Below are 18,564 nucleotides of genomic sequence, written 5' to 3' on the forward strand. Positions count from 1 at the left end.
ATAAAGTGCTCATTTCAATAGTGTGATACTTCTAGTCAGTGGTGTGTTCTTTTCAACAATGAATCAAATTTTCCTGAATTGAAGGAAAAATAATTTTGACCTTACTGGTTATTTAAATTATTTGTAAATTTAAGAAGCACATACCTATTCTATTAAAGTTAGTTCTGTAACTGTACATAAGATAACAATGTACAGGCCTTTTTTGAAGAAGTGGGAAGACTCACATTTATTTATTTCCTCATCTTCCACGTTTATGGTTCATAATGCAAAAATATTTAGCCTGTTAATTTTTAGAACTACTTGCCTAAATGAACCATATATTCTAAAATGTAAGAGATCATTATATTAGTATTTATAAAATATTACAAAAGCTTTTCTAGAAAATTGGTATGTTTGGCTCTCTCAATCTTAGTATCTTTTCAGTAAGCAAATTGGCAAAAAGGAATTCTTCGAAGTTTTCCTGGAATCCTTCAAAGTTTACATAATGTCTTTATCATTGGTTACCTGTCTTGTTTCAGTTAAATTTTAGGTGATCCTCTTATTAGGCTGTCTCTTGATACATTGTTTTAGTTAACTGATGAAATTAAATATGTAAAAAGAGTACTTGATCAACACTTAAAGAGTTCTTATATTTTTAGTAATATGAGGGATGTATTGGATTGATAGGTATATAAAATAAGTTCCAATATGACTTGCCCTCCATGAAGACTTTAAGCCTAGATACTCCTAGATTTTAGCTCCTATTTGTTTAGTCTTGGCAGTTCCCTGCACCTCTCTAAGCCTCTGTTTCTTGTTTAAAATGGAGACAGAAAACTGTTATGAATGTTGTGAATTGAAGATTTAGTATTTATTTAGTACAGTGAGTGGCATATGCTAAGCCCTCAGTAAATGGTGATCATTTCTAAACTTAAGGAATATATCTACATTCATGCATAGAAAGCGAACAGGAAGCAATATATGGCCCAGTGCTAGAATATAAGTTCTGATAATTCTAGTTCAGGGAAATTTGAGATGATTCTGGACTAGATGGTTGTGGTCTAAGGCTTTATGGAGGAATGTAGGTGGGGCAAGCTCCAAAGGAATGGAATCAGAGTGGGGGTTACGTTTTAATTTTCATGGCTAAAAAGAAAGAATGATACTTTAGGAAACAGGAGAGGCTTTAGCATCGAGAATTAACATGTATTTGGATTTCTTAGTTTTGCTAAGACAGAGGATTTGTGTGGATACTTATAGATGAGAGACATAAGCTTATTAACTTGATTGCTAAATTGGGTGTTCAGTTCTGAGCCTCAGTATTTCCCATTTTTACCCTTTTCTTTAGAAAACAATAGAGTTTACAACATGTCCAGTACACTTCTGTGTGGTGTGTGTTTGAGAAATAAAAGTTTCTTAACACACTTCTGCTATGATGTATTATGTTATTTTCCATTCTATTTCGTTGGGGGAAAATAAAATGAAATTTGGTATAAACTATGAAACTGAGTTCAGTACCTACAGGGACTTTAAGTAATCATATATTATTGCTGAGTAGGGTAGTATGTCACAGCGAAAGCATGTTTAGGAAGATTCATCTGGCAGCGGCAAGTCAAACTGGAAAGGACATTGAAACAAGAACAGTTACGATGGTAGTTATAGTAATCTAGGTGTTAGGATGGTAGTTGTCATAATCTAGGTATGATTTGATGAACCTTTGGACTAGAGTGGTGGCAGTGGTAAAGAAACAAAAGGACTAATCTAAGACAAATTGAGTAAATAGTCTGCAATAATTGATTAAAAAGGGAGAGAGAACGCAGAATAAACAAACTCCTAAGCTGGAATTTAAATGAGTAACTCATTAACCATCAATATATGTGAAAGAGAAAGTTGGTCAGAAATGAGGAAGAGCAAGAGAGAGAAATTTCATTTTAGATAGTATAGTGATGTTATTTATCATCCAAATTGGGATACTGTCAGAGTGAAAGAGGGGACTATTAGTCATTACACTGGTACAGCAGGTGTAAGTTGGAACTATGCTGGGCTTACTTGGGTAGAATGTCAAAAAGCCATGTTGAGTTTCAGGTGACTGAGAATTTACATGGGTGTTTGTACAGCAGTTGGGAATATAGAAGCGGAGCATGGGGTTAGAAATAAACATTTCTTATATTGAAACCCGAGATTTCTTGGTGGACATAATCATAGAAGAAAAAATAACAGGAAAGTCTGCAAACAATGTGTTTGCAAAATTATAAAGTAGATGAAGTTCTTTAATCTCTCTTTTCTCCAAGAATCTAGTTTTCCTACTAACTTCACCACTCCTTTTGGCCCTATTTTTAAGGAAAGTGGGTAAAGATCAAGGTTTTAGGGACTTACTAACTATCCTCCTAAAGTACGTGGCTCTTGAGTTTTCAGGAACTAAGAAATATCCTTACTTGAGACACAGATGAGAAGTCTCCCCTTTTTCTGCATAAAATCCTGACTGCATACATTTAAAATTCTGGATTTCATAAGGTTGTCCTGTGGACTTCAATTTAAGAACCCAGGAGTACTCTAAGAGTATTTGTGTATTTTGCTATGCCATTTAGAAATATGTGGCCTACATAGTGATACTGCACTTCTAAATGTTTCTACATGTATCGTCCGAGAATTTGGTCATTCTCTTATTTAAATAACTACACAACCATTTTCATACTTCTGAAGCATTTTTATTAAAATATACTTCTGAAGGCCCGGGCGCGGTGGCTCATGCCTGTAATCCCAGCATTTTGGGAGACTGAGGTGGGCGGAGAGGTCAAGAGATCGAGACTATCCTGGCTAACACAGTGAAATCCCGTCTCTACTAAAAATACAAAAAATTAGCTGGGCCTGGTGGCACGCTCCTGTAGTCCCAGCTACTTGGGAGGCTGAGGCAGGAGAATTGCTTGAACCCGGGAGGCAGAGGTTGCAGTGAGCTGAGATCACGCCATTGCACTCCAGCCTGGGCTACACAGCGAGACCCCATCTAAAAAAAAAAAAAAAAACTTCTGAAGAGACACTGCTGAAAGAGAAGTTTATGTGTGAAGGAACTATTTTGGGTATAAACCTTGTGAGTTTAGGTTGCATTATTCTACAATAAAATTCTACAGTATAACTTATTTTACAATAAAATATTTTATACTGTCTAGTCATTAGTCTAGCTCTTGAGTAACAGCCACAGTTAGGAAGACAAAAAGGAATTAAAGTGTAGATAAAGAATAGTCTGCCTATAATCCCATCATTTTGGGAGGCTGAAGTTGGAGGATTGAGCCAACCCAGGAGTTCAAGACCAGTCTGGGTAATACAATGAGACCTCTATCTCTACAAAATAATAAAAAATTAGCCGGGGATGGTGGCACATGCTTGTAATCACGGCTGCTCAGGAGGCTAAGACTGGAGGGTTGCTCGAGCCCAAGATTTCAAGGCTGCAGTGAGCAGCCTTGCAGTGGGGGACCACAAAGAGCAATCCTGTCATATGCTTAGAGGGCAGAGAGCTACACATTTGGCAAACAGTATTTTAAATACTTTCATACTGATTTTTTTTTCCCTTCACTTTCCCAAAGACCTGTGGTTTTATTTTATATTGGTTAACTAAAGGGTAGAACTAATACATTTCTGTAGTATTTCTTAATGTAGACTGTTATTGAGCATTATAGTAGGTTAAAGGTACTTGTGTAAATTTATTTGGAAAACTACAAAATTGACATTTTTTTTCTCTCTTAGGGCTCCGCTGATCCTCTAAATAGTGCTTTCCATTTGACCTACAACATGGTTTTGAACTTACTACGTGTAGAAGAAATTAATCCTGAGTACATGTTGGAAAAATCCTTCTACCAGTTTCAGCATTATAGAGCAATTCCAGGAGTAGTAGAGAGTAAGTATAAAATACCATAACAGAGCTTAGTGTAGCTAGGAGACTGACTAGCAAAATGTCTGCATTATTGGCTGCTTTGGCTTTTGTTTTTGTAAGGTAAATTTTGGTTCATACGTAATGGACTGCACAACTGTAGTCTGGTCATTGTAACTGAATAGAACATTTCAAAATGAAGGAAAGAAAACCCTGGCAGGAAACTTTTCTATAGTTGGCTCAAATTTAGTATAATTCTTGTCTTGTGCATATATGTCATATAACTCATGGTCCTGAATAATGAAATAACACACAAAGCCTAGTATATTAAAACTTGACCTGTAAAAAGCACATGCGGCTGGGCGCAGTGGCTCATGCCTGTAATCCTAGCACTTTGGGAGGCCGAGACGGGTGGATCACGAGGTCAAGAGATCGAGACCATCCTGGCAAACATGGTGAAACCCCATCTCTACTAAAAATACAAAAAATGAGCTGGGCATGGTGGTGGGCTTCTGTAGTCCCAGCTACTTGGGAGGCTGAGGCAGGAGAATCACTTGAACACGGGAGGTGGAGGTTGCAGTGAGCCAAGATTGCACCACTGCACTCCAGCGTGGTGACAAAGGGAGACTCCGACTCAAAAAAAAAAAAAAAGCAGCACATGCCTATTAGCCTTGTCCTTTCACCATTTCTCATTATAAAAGAGTGCCCTGGCATAAGCCTGTGAATGTTTAGGGAAATATAATGCTTTAACTTGGATTAGAGTTTAGCTTTTTGGAATTTTCAGTTCTTAATATTAAGGTAATGCTTACTAAAGCACAAAAAGTAAATGTCCTGTGGTAATTATGTTCAAGTGGAATTGTACATTGATTCTTACCTTAGAGGGTAGTGTGACTGATGGTCATAAGAGCTGATTAAAAGCTAAAATGGAGGCAACGATTTAAAGTACTGGTTTTCATTTGAATGTGAAAAAGAATAAACCACTGGTTTGGATAAATCTTATAAAAATATTGTGCGTAGTCATCGTAAAAAGGAGAAAGAAAATGTGACAAAAGATAGAGGAAAGTTAAAATCATTTGTAATCTCACACAGAAATAGCTACCCAACCACTGTTAACACTTTGGAGTTTTTCTATTTTGTTTCACGAATAAGTTTGCTTTTTAAAGGCAAAATTTAGATGTGGAGTTTTTGTAATAATGATACTGGTAATGATAATGCTTATAATTAATATCATTTGTTAAATATTTACCTTACGCCTAGCCTTTTATTAAATGCTTTGTATTTAGTAGCTCATTGATTCTGACTTTTGAAGTTTTAATTTCAGCCAGGTGTGGTGGCTCACACCTGTAATCCTAGCACTTTGCGAGGCCCAGGGGGGCAGATACTTGAGGTCAGGAGTTCGAGGCCAGCCTGGCCAGCATGATGAAACCCCATCTCTACTAAAAATACAAAAAAATTAGCCGGGCATGGTGGTGGGCACCTGTAATCCCAGCTACTTGGGAGGCTGAGGCAGGAGAGTTGCTGGAACCCGGGAGCAGAGGTTGCAGTGAGCCGAGATTGTACCACTGCACTTCAGCCTGGGTGACAGAGCGAGACTCCATCTCAAAAAAAGAACAAAAAGTTTTAATTTCAAGAAAGCATGATTTTTAATGACTGAATAATGTTTCAATTTTATAACTATCATGATTTATTTAACAGGACAAATTGGAGATTCCTTTCTATCATGAGTATATAGGACAATTCCACTCTTATTTTACTTTATTTTAGATGGGGTCTTGCTCTGTCGCCTAGGCTGGAGTGCAGTGGTACGATCACAACTCAGTGCAGGCTCAGTTGATCCTCCCAGCTCAGCTGGACTATAGGCATGTGCCGCCATGCCTGGCTAATTTTTGTATTTTCTGTAGATACAGGGTTTCACCATTAATAAAGTGATGAGAATAAATGTAACCTCTCTAATTGAAAAAAAAAATCGAAGATGACTGACAGTTTCTTAAAATGTGAGCTGGATGATCTCAACACTCACCTTTAGTAAATTTCCATAAGCAGATTTTTGAATTTTTTTTAAAAACCTTATAACATGACCAATGTATAATTTCAAATCATATTACATTTTATTAATTTCTTGTAAAAGTTATTAATAATGCCCCTCGTTTGGCTGATAAACTGGTCTTAGCAAAGAGATAGAAAAGTATGATTCTAGTCTCAGAGAAGTGTATTTTTAAAAGAGCTATAAATCCCTTTCTCCCACCAAAAATTGTATTAATAATAAATTTTATTTTATTTTATTAAAAATAAAAATAATAAAGATGAACAAGGTTTAAATACACTTTGGATTTGAGTGTGAATTAAGGAGGTGTTAAAATCAGATTAGTACTTAATATTAATTTTACCTTATGGAAATTTCAGATGCTGTCATTGAAACAGGTGTAAGATTACAAGCTAGTTTAATACTTAAAAAAGGAAATTAAAGTATTCCTCCTAAGCAGTTAGCACAGTCATGCATGAGTAGGATAATTATACATACACACACAGCTAGCAGTTAGACTGTTTTGGAGACTGAATAACCAAGTGAAACAGAAGTGTGTATTGGTGCACCTACCTTTGTTTTGTTTCTTTTTCTTTTTACATTCTGATAAGCAGTAAATTACTTTTTAAAAGCATCCCTGGTACAGTGGAGGATAGAGGGAAAACTCCCAAATATTATCCCATTTTTTTAAAGCCTGTTTTCTGACTTCTGGCTGGACCCAGAGATTGTTCAGTATGACTTAGAGCAGGATTCTACTGCTCACTCAATGAACTTAAACATTCCACCATTTCTCTGATAAATTAAAAAGAAAACCTTTTACCTGAGGAATGGGAGCCCCTTTCAATTTTCAGGCCGAGAAAGTCATTTAAAATATAACCGAAGTCAAGTCTCAAGTCTCCTACCCTTGGAACTAAATAATTACCTTTTGAAGCCACTGTATAGCCAGTCACTAACCCGTGTTATTTCTTTTTACCAATGAGAATTCCTGACAGCTTTTGTAATCTAGCCGCTCTTCTAATTCATCCCTTTTTCTTTTCTTTTTTCTTTTTTTTTTTTTCTTTTTTTGAGACGGAGTTTCATCATTCCTATTGCCCAGGCAATGGCAACAATGGCACGATCTCGGCTCACCCCAACCTCCACCTCCCAGGTTCAAGTGATTCTCCTGCCTCAGCCTCTCAAGTAGCTGGGATTACAGGCATGCACCACCACGCCCAGCTAATTTTGTATTTTTAGTAGAGACGGGGTTTCTCCATGTTGGTCAAGCTGGTCTCAAACTCCCAACCTCAGGTGATCCACCCACCTTGACCTCCCAAAGTGCTGGGATTATAGGCATGAGCCACTGTGCCTGGCCCTGATTATCCCTTTTTCTTTAGAAATTGGAGCCCCTCTTTTGTCTCTAGAGCACTTCCTGAACTTAGAAGTATATCTCTGGCTGCAGTCCTCAGCCTTGGCCCACATAAACTGTTAATCTTGCCTCGGTTTCTTCCATTTAGGTAGACATTTCCATCTCATGTCCTCTGTCTTCACAGTCCCCAGCTTTTGTGTTTTGTTTTTTCAATGTGGTTCTGACTTACCTTTTAAAAGGATTGTGAGTAACATGATCTTTGCTCACTGGCATTGCCTCTGAATACTTGTATCTACTTGGAATTTAATTATCCCTGCATTTCTCTACCTCTGGTTTTAAAGGGGCAGGCTCTGTTTTTCTAACTTCCTGAAACCAGTAAGTAAAAATACTGTCAAAAGTATAACATACTTTTTAATGGAAGAGGTAGGAATTTGAGTGATGAAAGAGAAATAAGGGAATTGAAACACCTCTAGTACAGTTTGCAGAGCTGAGTGTTAATGATCAAACAGACCATGTAGTGTGAGAGAATACATCCTGAATGGAGTTCATTCCTATTTTCAGTCATTACTTGCAGGAGTATACTTCTTTTGTTGCAGATACTACTAGAGCCTTTTCAAGGCACTGGTATTATTTTTACCACCTTAAATATAACAAAATTAAAATGTGGGCTATTGTCTTTGGAAGTGTAGAATTGGTAGAATGTTTTATTCATTGTAACAAATAGATGGCTCACATACATGAGATGTTTTTCATTTTGATTTATCTAATCAACAGTACATTTTTCAGTGAGCCATAAGAGTAGAGGTCCTTGGATTTTACTCTACCCTTACTGAAATGAAAAATGCATACTTAATCTTAGTCTTTTTATTTAGTTTCATTAATAATGCCAGTGGTAATAGGAAGAGCTGTGCAGTTAAATGAGGGTTTGAATCAAGGCTACCTGAGCCTCAGTTTGTTTATGAAGTTGGGATAATATCCAGTACATTCAAGTTCTAAGAATTAAATGAGATAATCTATGTTAAATGCTCAGTAAGTGCTTGTTGCAAAAATGATAGTATTGCCATAGAGCAGTAAAGCAATCTGTGCTTTTACTTGTAAAATTTGCTTAGTTCTGAGCATGGCAGTTCATTTCCTAGTCACTCCCAGGCTTATCTATTGTATACACTGTTATACACTATATTATATACTATAAATATGTTTTTGCAACCACCATCTCTCATCTTCCTCGAGAGGAAGAAATTGGTTGCAAGCTGTCTTAAGAGTTTGTGGGCATATTTTACATGCTATCTTCTGAAATTCTGAGGCTTTCCTATGGCAATGACCCATGAGGCCTTCTCATTTGCACTGCAGTTAAACTAGCTTCTTATACTAAAGTTCCTCAACTGTCTGATTGGGGTGGAAGAGGTACTATCCTTAAATTAAGTTAATTTGCTTCATAGTGGCAGTCTCACAAACAAGTTGCCTCATTAATTTATGTATTTGTTTTCTAATTTGTTACATGTATATTATCAATTTTGAAAGACATAAAACCAGTTTTTTTTTAACATGAGAAAAGATTAGAGAAACTGATTTTTGTTTGTTTAATATGGAGAAAAAAGACTGTACCTAAAGTTAATAATTTTCTGGAGTGGTATGTAGCTGTAGTTAGAGTCCTGGACTCTAACTACAAAATAAATGTGACTTCTTAAAATGTCTTTCAGACTTTTGACTCACTAGTTAAATAGTCTGAGCACTGAAGTGATTTGGAGTGATATAAAAAAGAAAATCTTCCTGGATGCTTCCCTGTTATCCCCCATAGATATTTCCTTATATCATTTTCTTAAATTCCTCTGGTCTGTGCTGCCTTTAGTGCTCCCCTGATTCCTACAAATAGAATGTTATATGTAATTCTGGGCGGGGCAGCAGGATCATCATTTCAGTGTGCAGTCTCCATTTTCGTGTAACTCTTAATGACTTTAGTCTGTCAAATATTCTTTTATAGGGTTTAATTTTTTTTCCTGATAATGTTTACTGCCATAATGCGTGTTGTTACGGATGGTATTCTAGTCTTTAATGACTGAAATACAGCTCCTGTAAGCAGTGATGCAGTTCATTTAAAAATAACCAGGATGATGCAGTATGCCCAAGGTAGTACAAAAGACTAGAACTTAGAGCTCTAGGAACAGTCTGTGAAAAGGTTGATGATGATAATAAACATAATAACAATACAGTAGCAATATCCTTTCTGTTTACCATGAGCTATACTGTTAGCTAAGTATATTCTGTGTCTTTCATCAGTCCCTAGGAAAGCTTTGTGGGGATACGTGCACTATTGTTATCCTCATTTTGCAGATTAAGAAACTGAAGCACACTGGTTACATAGAGCAGTTTGATAAAGATCAGTGGAGTAGAATTGTGAGTCCAGAAGTAAACCTGTACATCTGTTGTCAATTGATTTTTCAACAAGTAGTGCTGAAACAAAAGGATTGCAACATGCGTAATAAAGTTGCACCCTTACCTCACGCCATATACAAAAAGTAACTCAGATAAAGAGCTAAAAATTTAAAACTCAGGAAAAAACATAGGTGTGAATTTACGTAATTTTGGATTTGGCAGTGATTTCTTAGCTGTGACACCAAAAGCATGAACAACAGAAGAAAAAAAGAAATTGGATTTTACCAAAATTTAAAACTGTAATGTGTGTGTGTGTGTGTGTGTGTGTGTGTGTGTGTGTGTGTGTGTGTGTGTTTGTCTATGGTTTTTGGCTTATAATTTTTATACCCTTTGTTATATATAGTCTTGTTAAAACGTTGGGGCACTTTAGGCCTTAGAAATAGGCCTTAGAAATTAGATTTTTTTTAACCTAGTTTTGTTTATTTATTTATTTAAGGCAGGGTTGTTTATTTTTATTTTTATTTTTATTTCTTTTTTTTTTTGGTCTTTTTGTCTTAGATCTGTTCATAATAAATTTTTTTTGACTTACTTTGTCTTATTATAGGTCATAAGACCACCATTTTAAAGGGGATTCTGTATTATGTCTTGGAGGAAGAAATGTTATATAGAGAGACCCAAAAATTTTAAATAAATGGGCTTTCTTGGGTTTTTTTACTCCATTAGTATTAGATTATGTATTTTTTTGTTTAATTATATATAGTTGTGAATTATGTCCATCTAATTAAAAGTCACTATAAAATGTCCAGGGAGGACAGGATTTGGGGAACTTTTGGATAGCTAAATATGAAGAGACTTATAGGAAGGAAACAAAAATTTATTTGTTGAGGAAGATGGTGCACTCCATCTCTGTGTGGACAAAAGCTCTTGTGTTTAGGACCTTTTTAGACTTTGTCTTATATTTTTTTTATCTATTTTTAAAAATATTTTTGTAATAAACTGATAAATGTGTTTTTTTGAGTTTTGTGAGCTACTCACACACACACAAATAATCAGACATAAAGAGGAAGTTGTAAAAATTTCAATTTGTTAAATTTTTTGGAGGCCCTAACTGGTGACTAGTGTCTAAACTTAGGACTTGTGACTAGTGTCTAAAATTTTGGAGACCTTAACCTGTGACTAGTGGGGGTAGGGGTGGGGGCAGTCTTGGGGACTGAACTCTCAACCTGTGAGACCTGATGCTGTCTCCAGGTGGATAATGTCAAAATTAAATTAGAGGACACCCAGCTGGCATCCACTGCTTGGTGTGTGGGGAAGAAAAACCCTCACATATTGAGTCACAGAAGGCTTCTTCTGTGTTAGTTACTGTTATGTAACATAAAAAATACAAAAAATGCCAGGCATGGTGGCTCATGCCTGCCAGAACTTTGGGAGACTGAGGTGAGTGGATCACTTGAGGCCAGGAGTTCAAGACCAGCCTGGCCAACATGGCGAAACCCTGTCTCTACTAAAAATACAAAATTTAGCCACATGTGGTGGCGCACACCTGTAATTCCAGTTACTCAGAAGGCTGAGGCAGGGAATTGGATGAACCCAGGAGGCAGAGGTTGCAGTGAGCCAAGATTGTGCCACTGAACTCTAACCTGGGCAACGGAGCAAGACTGTCTCAAAAAACATTTATATATATATATATATATATAAACAATTTTTTTTTTTTTGGAGGCAGGGTCTCACTCTGTTGCCCAGACTGGAGTGCACTGGCAAAATCATAGCTCACTGTAGCCTCAACCTCCTGGGCTCAAGGAATCCTCCAACCTCAGCCTCCCAAGTAGCTAGGACCACAGGTGTGTACCATCACACCAACCTAATTTTTTATTTTTGTAGAGATGGAATCTCACTGTCTCTCCCAGGCTGGTCTTGAACTCCTGAGCTGAAGGTATCCTGCTCCTGCCTCAGCCTCCCAAGAGTGTTGGGATTATGGGTGTGAGCCACTGTGCCTAGCCAAAAAAACACTTGTGTTTCTTAAAACACAGTACCTCAAAAGAACAACTTTGTTTCCTTCTTTACCTGATAGAATGGTCCTAAGACCAGGGCTACAACTACAAATGCTAAAAAGAGATAATTCCTAAACAGAAAACTGCAACTATATATTTAACCCTTTTATCAAAATTCCTAAGAGCCATATAGGATGAATTGTACCTTCATCCCATCTGACAAAATAGACCGAAAACCAATACAACTATTTGCCTAATTATCAGGGAACCTGCCCCAATATTTACATAGGTTCTTTTCTATTTTCCTTAAGCGTTGGCCAGCTTGAGAAATAAAGGGACAGAGTACAAAAGAGAGAAATTTTAAAGCCGGGCGTCCAGGGGAGACATCACATGTCGGTAGGTTCCGTGATGCCCCACAAGCCACAAAAACCAGCAAGTTTTTATTAGGGAGTTTCAAAAAGGGAGGGAGTGTGTGAATAGGTGTGGGTCACAGACATCAAGTACTTTACAAGGTAATAGAATATCACAAGGCAAGTGGAGGCAGGGCGAGATCACAGGACCGCAGGACCAGGGCGAAATTAAAATTGCTAATGAAGTTTCGGGCACCACTGTCATTGATAACATCTTATCAGGAGACAGGGTTTTGAGATCAACCGGTCTGACCAAAATTTATTAGGCAGGAATTTCCTCTACCTAATAAGCATGGGAGCGCTATGGGAGACTGGGGTCTATTTCACCCCGGCAGTCTCGAACATAAGAGACAGGTACGCCCCAGGGGGGACAGTTCAGAGACCTACTCCTAGGTGTGCATTCTCTTTCTCAGGGATGTTCCATGCTGAGAAAAGGAATTCATCGATATTTCTCCCATTTGCTTTTGAAAGAAGAGAAATATGGCTCTGTTCTGCCCGGCTCACTGGCGGTCAGAGTTTAAGGTTATCTCTCTTATTCCCTGAACAATTGCTCTTATCCTGTTCTTTTTTCAAGGTGCCCACATTTCATGTTGCTCAAACACACATGTTGTACAATTTGTGCAGTTAATGCAACTATTACAGGGTCCTGAGGCGATATACATCCTCCTCAGCTGACAGGATTAAGAGATTAAAGTAAAGACAGGCATAGGAAATCACAAGGGTATTGATTGGGGAAGTGATAAGTGTCCATGAAATCTTTACAATTTATGTTTAGAGATTGCAGTAAAGACAGGCATAAGAAATTACAAAAGTATTAATTTGGGGAACTAATAAATGTCCATGAAATCTTCACAATCTACGTTCTTCTGCCACAGCTTCAGCTGGTCCCTCCGTTTGGGGTCCCTGTCTTCCCGCAACATCTCTCCCTTTCTTGTTATATAAATGTGCCATGGCGATGAAGCCTTGTTCGTTCTCTCGATTTTGACACAGGATTCCTTGACTGGTCTGGCACACTAAAAACAAGCCGATTAAACAGAGAAACATAGTTCCAAAATTTACTATAGTGGAGCCCCCAGTAGACTTAATCCAAGTCGTGGAGTTTAATCCATAAAGATTTTCTGCCACCTGATCTAACGCCTCAGCTCTAGGCACAATGGATAAGTGAGCTTGAGGGGCTTCAAAAATTTGTTGCTTTAATTTAGTTATGTCCAATGATAAATTATCTTCCCTACCTAGAAGATGTCCTTTGACCATTTCCCATGAATGATCAGTCATATAGGAATATGGGGTGATGCAGAAATCCAAAGTATTCCAATCGCACTGCATTTGCATGCGACGTTCAAGACTCATTACCCGATCTCCAAGCCAAATAACAGACTGTCTTAAATCATTGATTTGCCAATTTTTGATCGATGCCTTGTTGAGAATTCCACATTTGGGTGGAATTGGCTTACCAATCATTAACAAAATGAGCCGTTTGAATGGATTGGTGTAATGCCATTCCAGCAGTGGTGGCCATTGCAGTGACTGTAATGAGGCCCATGATAACAGCGATTAAAGTGAAAACAAATCTCTTAGATCTTTTTAGAATTTGCTGTAGCACTTCATTAATGAAATGGCACTAGTTCTATACCTGTATAACCTTATCACATCTAAATAGAATACAATGTGGAGGACATAGTGCTAGGCTACTCTTGCTGCCTAAAATCTAGACCAACATTGTGGCCAATTCTGATGTCCCTTCCATAGATTTTTTTTAAAAAGAAGGGAGGGTATTTAAAAACTATAGATTTTATAGGTCGGGTGTGGTGGCTCACGCCTGTAATTCTAGCACTTTGGGAGGCCAAGGCAGGTGGATCACTTGAGGTCAGGAGTTCAAAACCAGCCTGGCCAACATGGTGAAACCCCCGTCTCTACTAAAAATACAAGAATTAGCTGGGCATGGTGTGGCACGCCTATAATCTCAGCTACTCAGGAGGCTGAGGCAGGAGAATCACTTAAACCTGTGAGGCTGAGGTTGCAGTGAGCCAAGACTGTCTCAAAAAAAACAAGCTAAAGGCCGGGCTTGGTGGCTCATGTCTGTAATCCCAGCACTTTGGGAGGCCGAGGCGGGTGGATCATGAGGTCAGGAGATCGAGACCATCCTGGCTAACATGGTGAAACCCGTCCCTACTAAAAATACAAAAATTAGCTGGGCATGGTAGCGGGCGCCTGTAGTCCCAGCTACTCGGGAGGCTGAAGCAGGAGAGTGGTGTGAACCCGGGAGGCAGATCTTGCAGTGAGCCGAGATCACGCCACTGCACTCTAGCCTGGGCGACAGAGCGAGACTCCGTCTCTAAAAAAAAAGAAGAAAAAAGGCTATGGATTTTAAAAACGGAATTACACATTTTAAAAATCCAATATTAGTTAATACCTCTAAAGAAGCTCAAAACAGTTATATCCTAGTTCAATTATACCAAATGCCTAAAAATATGAAACTATATATTTGCCAAGATGACTCCTACTTTTAAAACCAGGCAAGATCAAATAAAAGCCTGCAAACCTGCATGGCCTCACCCTAAGAGATATATTCATATCATTTAATGGTAGACTGATCTAATTAATGACTAAATACAAGTCTAATAATATGCCAATATCTTTGAAATTATATATCCTGTTAATATGAGTTCCATATTAACAAAAAACCAGGGTGTGGCCTGTGATTTATTGGTTGGTTTTTGTCCATGGTTCCTGGTTTATAACTCCCATAGCCTTTGTTAGTCTTTTGTTATAATGTTGGGTCAGAAGCAGGTCCCAGAAGATAGATTCTCTCTCTGACCTTCTGCTGCCTTCCTTTCACCTGCTGCTTTTTCTCCCCAAGGCAGGAATCATCTCCAGCTTTTCTGTTTTAGAGACTGACCTAAAAAAATTCTCTGACCTACCTTGTCTGATTTTAGGTCACAAGGCACTCATTTGAAAAGAGATCCTGAGTCATACCTTGGAGGAAGAAATGCTATACGGAAAGGTGCAAAAAAAAAAAAAATCATAATGGGCAGATCTTGCTGGGTTTTCCCACTCAGTCTATTAGTAATAGATTGTAACCAACCACATTTCTTTGCAGTTGTCAGTCATGTCTATCCAATAAAGCCTCCATAAAAGGCACAAGAGGACAGGGTTTGGGGAGCTTTTGGATAGATGAACACATAGAGACTTACAGGAAGGTGGAAGGTAAACAAAAACCGCAACTACACTTGCACCAACCTAATAGAAAAAATCCTATGTCTTGGGTATAATTTAAATAAGATGTATAACCTTTTAATTTTGTACATGTGTTCTATTTACAGAGGTAAAGAATTCAGAAGAACAGTATAATAAAATAGTAATTCCCAATGAAGAAAGTGTGGTTATCTATTATAAGATTAGACAGCAGCTTGCCAAATTGGGTAAAGAAATTGAAGAATATATTCACAAACCAAAATACTGCTTACCTTTTCTACAACCAGGTCGTTTGGTAAAGGTATGTCATTGTTTCTTCATAAAATACTTGAATAATTCAATATTTAAACATATTTTTGTTAAAGATTCTAATTTATTTTTTATTCTGATAAAATGCTTCCTGCTACAATAGTTGATCTATATTAATCATATTATTTTACCTGTTTCACATGGCACTAACTTAGGGGCTTATGCAAAGGCCTTTTAATCACCACTGGTTTTTGTTTTGGGGACTATAAATTGAAGTAGATAGTTTTGGAATTAACATATAAAATATTTCTAGTTATGAAATGCTAACTATAACTGTTCATATAACTATTCATATAACTATATGAAAAATAAGGCAATTTTAAGTTCTGGATGAATTCATTAGATATAAATGATTTATATCCTTGGAACATTCTGTCATTTTCAGCATTCATTTGCCAACTGAGAGATTCCTGTTATTGCTGTCCTAGGGGCAATTTCTAAAATGAAATTTGGCATTGATTTTTTTCCTGCAGGGTTGATATCTTGTTTCTTAAATTTAGCAGTGCTCTTTCAAAGATATTTTATCAGAAAATTCAGAAAGCTTTATTAGTCTAGAATGTAGGTGTGAAAGGCTGAAATTGCCTTGTAGATATACATTTGATTCTTGCTTACTTGCTTTTCTTTCTTTTTAGGTAAAGAATGAAGGAGATGACTTTGGCTGGGGAGTAGTGGTGAATTTCTCAAAAAAGTCAAATGTTAAGGTAAACTATTATCTTTAAATTAGAATTGTATATCAATTTTTAGTGAAATGTTTTTTAAGGCTTATGAAATCGGTCTAAGAAGAAATAATATTACCTGAAGAGAAGCAGTAATAAATTCTGCCATGAGGAATTAATTTTTGGAATACACCCGGCTAATTTTTGTATTTTTAGTAGAGATGGGGTTTTGCCATGTTGGCCAAGCTGGTCTTGAACTCCTAACCTCAGGTGATCCACCTGCCTCGGCCTCCCAAAGTGCTGGGATTACAGGTGTGAGCCACCGCACCAAGCCAGTCCTTTATATTTTCTGTGTATCACCTCAACCATGAGAAAACTATTAAATGGTGGTGGTGCTTTCCTTCCACTCCCCAAATCTCCCTGACACACACACACACACACACACACACACACACACACACTCAGAGAGACACATGCATTGTTTTCATGTAGCTGTGATCTTCCTTGCAGGAGATGAGGTTAACTGGACAGAGTAGTCTTTATTTAAGCCTCTCTGACAGCTATTAAATTCTCTTTTTATGTGGAGTTGGAAGTGTGACATTGAGTGCTAAATACAGTGGTTTCATGGACATTTACGTAACCCAAGATGGAAAAGCTAGCATGCCTTTGCCAGTTTACTCATTCCATAACTTGTTTGTAAGAGAATTTTGCTAAGGCAGAATATTTTTACCTATACTGAAGTGCTGTAGATTCCTTTCACCTTAGGTTTTACATTTTTTGTTTATTTTTTTTCTTTTTCTTTTGAGACGGAGTCTCGCTCTGTCGCCCAGGCTGGAGTACAGTGGCACGATCTCGGCTCACTGCAATCTCCGCCTCCCGGTTTCATGCCATTCTCCTGCCTCAGCCTCCTGAGCAGCTGGGACTGTAGGTGCCTGCCACCAAGCCCAGCTAATTTTTTTTTTTTGTATTTTTAGTAGAGACGGGTTTCACCGTGTTAGGCAGGATGGTCTCGAACTCCTGACCTTGTGATCTGCCCGCCTCGGCCTCCCAAAGTGCTGGGATTACAGACATGAGCCACCACGCCCGGCCTGTTTCTTTTTTTAAACAGTTCTATGGAGATGATACACACTCTACAATTTTCCCGGTTAGGGTGTATGACTCAGTGACATTTAGTATATTTGCAGATATGTGCAACCATCACCACAGTCAATTGTAGAACATTTTCATCATCTCAAAAAGAAACATATGTCATTCACCTGTCCTTCCATATCCCCCAGAAATAGAGAAAATTTCTTTCTGTTCCTGGTGTGTTGAGTGTTTTTCTCATGAAAGATAAATATTATGTCAAATATTTCTTATGTGCCTATTGAGGTGATCATGTGATTTTTGCTTTTTATTCTATTTTGTATTCTGATATGATATATTACATTAACTGGTTTTCAGATGTTAACATGACTGGATTTCTGAGATAAATCCCAGTTTGTCATGATATATTATTTTCTTTATGTATCGGGATTCAGTTGGTAGTATGTTTTTGAGGATTTTTTATGCCGTATTCATAGGAAATACTGAGGATTTTTCATGCCAGTATTCATAGGAGATGTTGGTTTGTTGTTTTCTTGGTGACATCTTTGTTTGGGTTTGGTATTAGGGTAATGCAGGCCTCATAGAATGAGTTAGGAAGTGTTCCCCTTTTCTTCCATTTTTTGGAAGAGGTTTTGAAGAACTGGTATTAAATATTTTTTCCCAATATCTTCATCACATTCAAAACTTCTTAAATATTTGGTAGAACTTGGCAATGAGGCCACTTCGGCCTGTGCTCTTCTTTATGGGTACTTTACTAAGAGATTACTAAGTCAATTTCTACTTGGTATGGCATGTTCTTCAGATTGTCTGTAATTTATTGATATACAGTTATTCGTAGTATTATTTTATAATCCTTTTTATTTTTGTATGGTCATTAGTAGTGTCTCTTTCATATCTGACCTAGTAGTTTAAATCTTTCTTCTGGGTAAAGTTTGTCAATTTTGTTAATCTTCTCAATGAGCTTTTGGTTTTACTGATTTTTTTTCCCTCTATTTTTCTGTCTCTATTTCATTAGGTTATGCCCCATCTTTTTAATTTTCTTTCTTCTGGCTACAGGTTCAGTTTACTGTTCTTTTTTCAACGTGTTAAGGTAGAAGATTAGGTTATTAACTTGAGATACCTCTTCTTTTTAAATAGAGCTTTTACAATTATAGAGGTTTTACAATTATAAATTTCCCTCTACAGACGCTTTAGCTGTATTCCATAAATTTTAGTATATTTTATCATTTTCATTAATCTCAAAGTATTTTCTAATTTCCCTTTTGATTTCTTCTTTAACCCATTGGTTATTTAGGAGAGTGTTAATGTTCACATACTTGTTAATTTCCCAAATTTTTG

At 37.3% G+C, this 18,564-nt stretch overlaps 1 protein-coding gene and 1 long non-coding RNA gene across 2 annotated transcripts in view; both read left to right on the forward strand.

The window, feature by feature from the left end:
* The window catches only part of MTREX (Mtr4 exosome RNA helicase), a 117,591-nt gene that overhangs the window by 55,022 nt on the left and 44,005 nt on the right, over positions 1-18,564 (forward strand). The window contains exons 16-18 of the mRNA NM_015360.5: positions 3,715-3,865; positions 15,304-15,476; positions 16,117-16,185. Of these exons, the coding sequence (NP_056175.3) occupies positions 3,715-3,865; positions 15,304-15,476; positions 16,117-16,185 (393 nt within the window). The remainder of the gene's footprint in view (positions 1-3,714; positions 3,866-15,303; positions 15,477-16,116; positions 16,186-18,564) is intronic.
* On the forward strand, positions 14,742-15,198 carry LOC107986415 (uncharacterized). Its single transcript, XR_001742668.2, has 2 exons — positions 14,742-14,984; positions 15,081-15,198. It is a non-coding gene; the product is annotated as an uncharacterized LOC107986415 (long non-coding RNA).

This window comes from Homo sapiens, chromosome 5 (assembly GCF_000001405.40).
Source record: "Homo sapiens chromosome 5, GRCh38.p14 Primary Assembly".
In the NCBI taxonomy this organism is placed as follows: domain Eukaryota; kingdom Metazoa; phylum Chordata; class Mammalia; order Primates; family Hominidae; genus Homo; species Homo sapiens.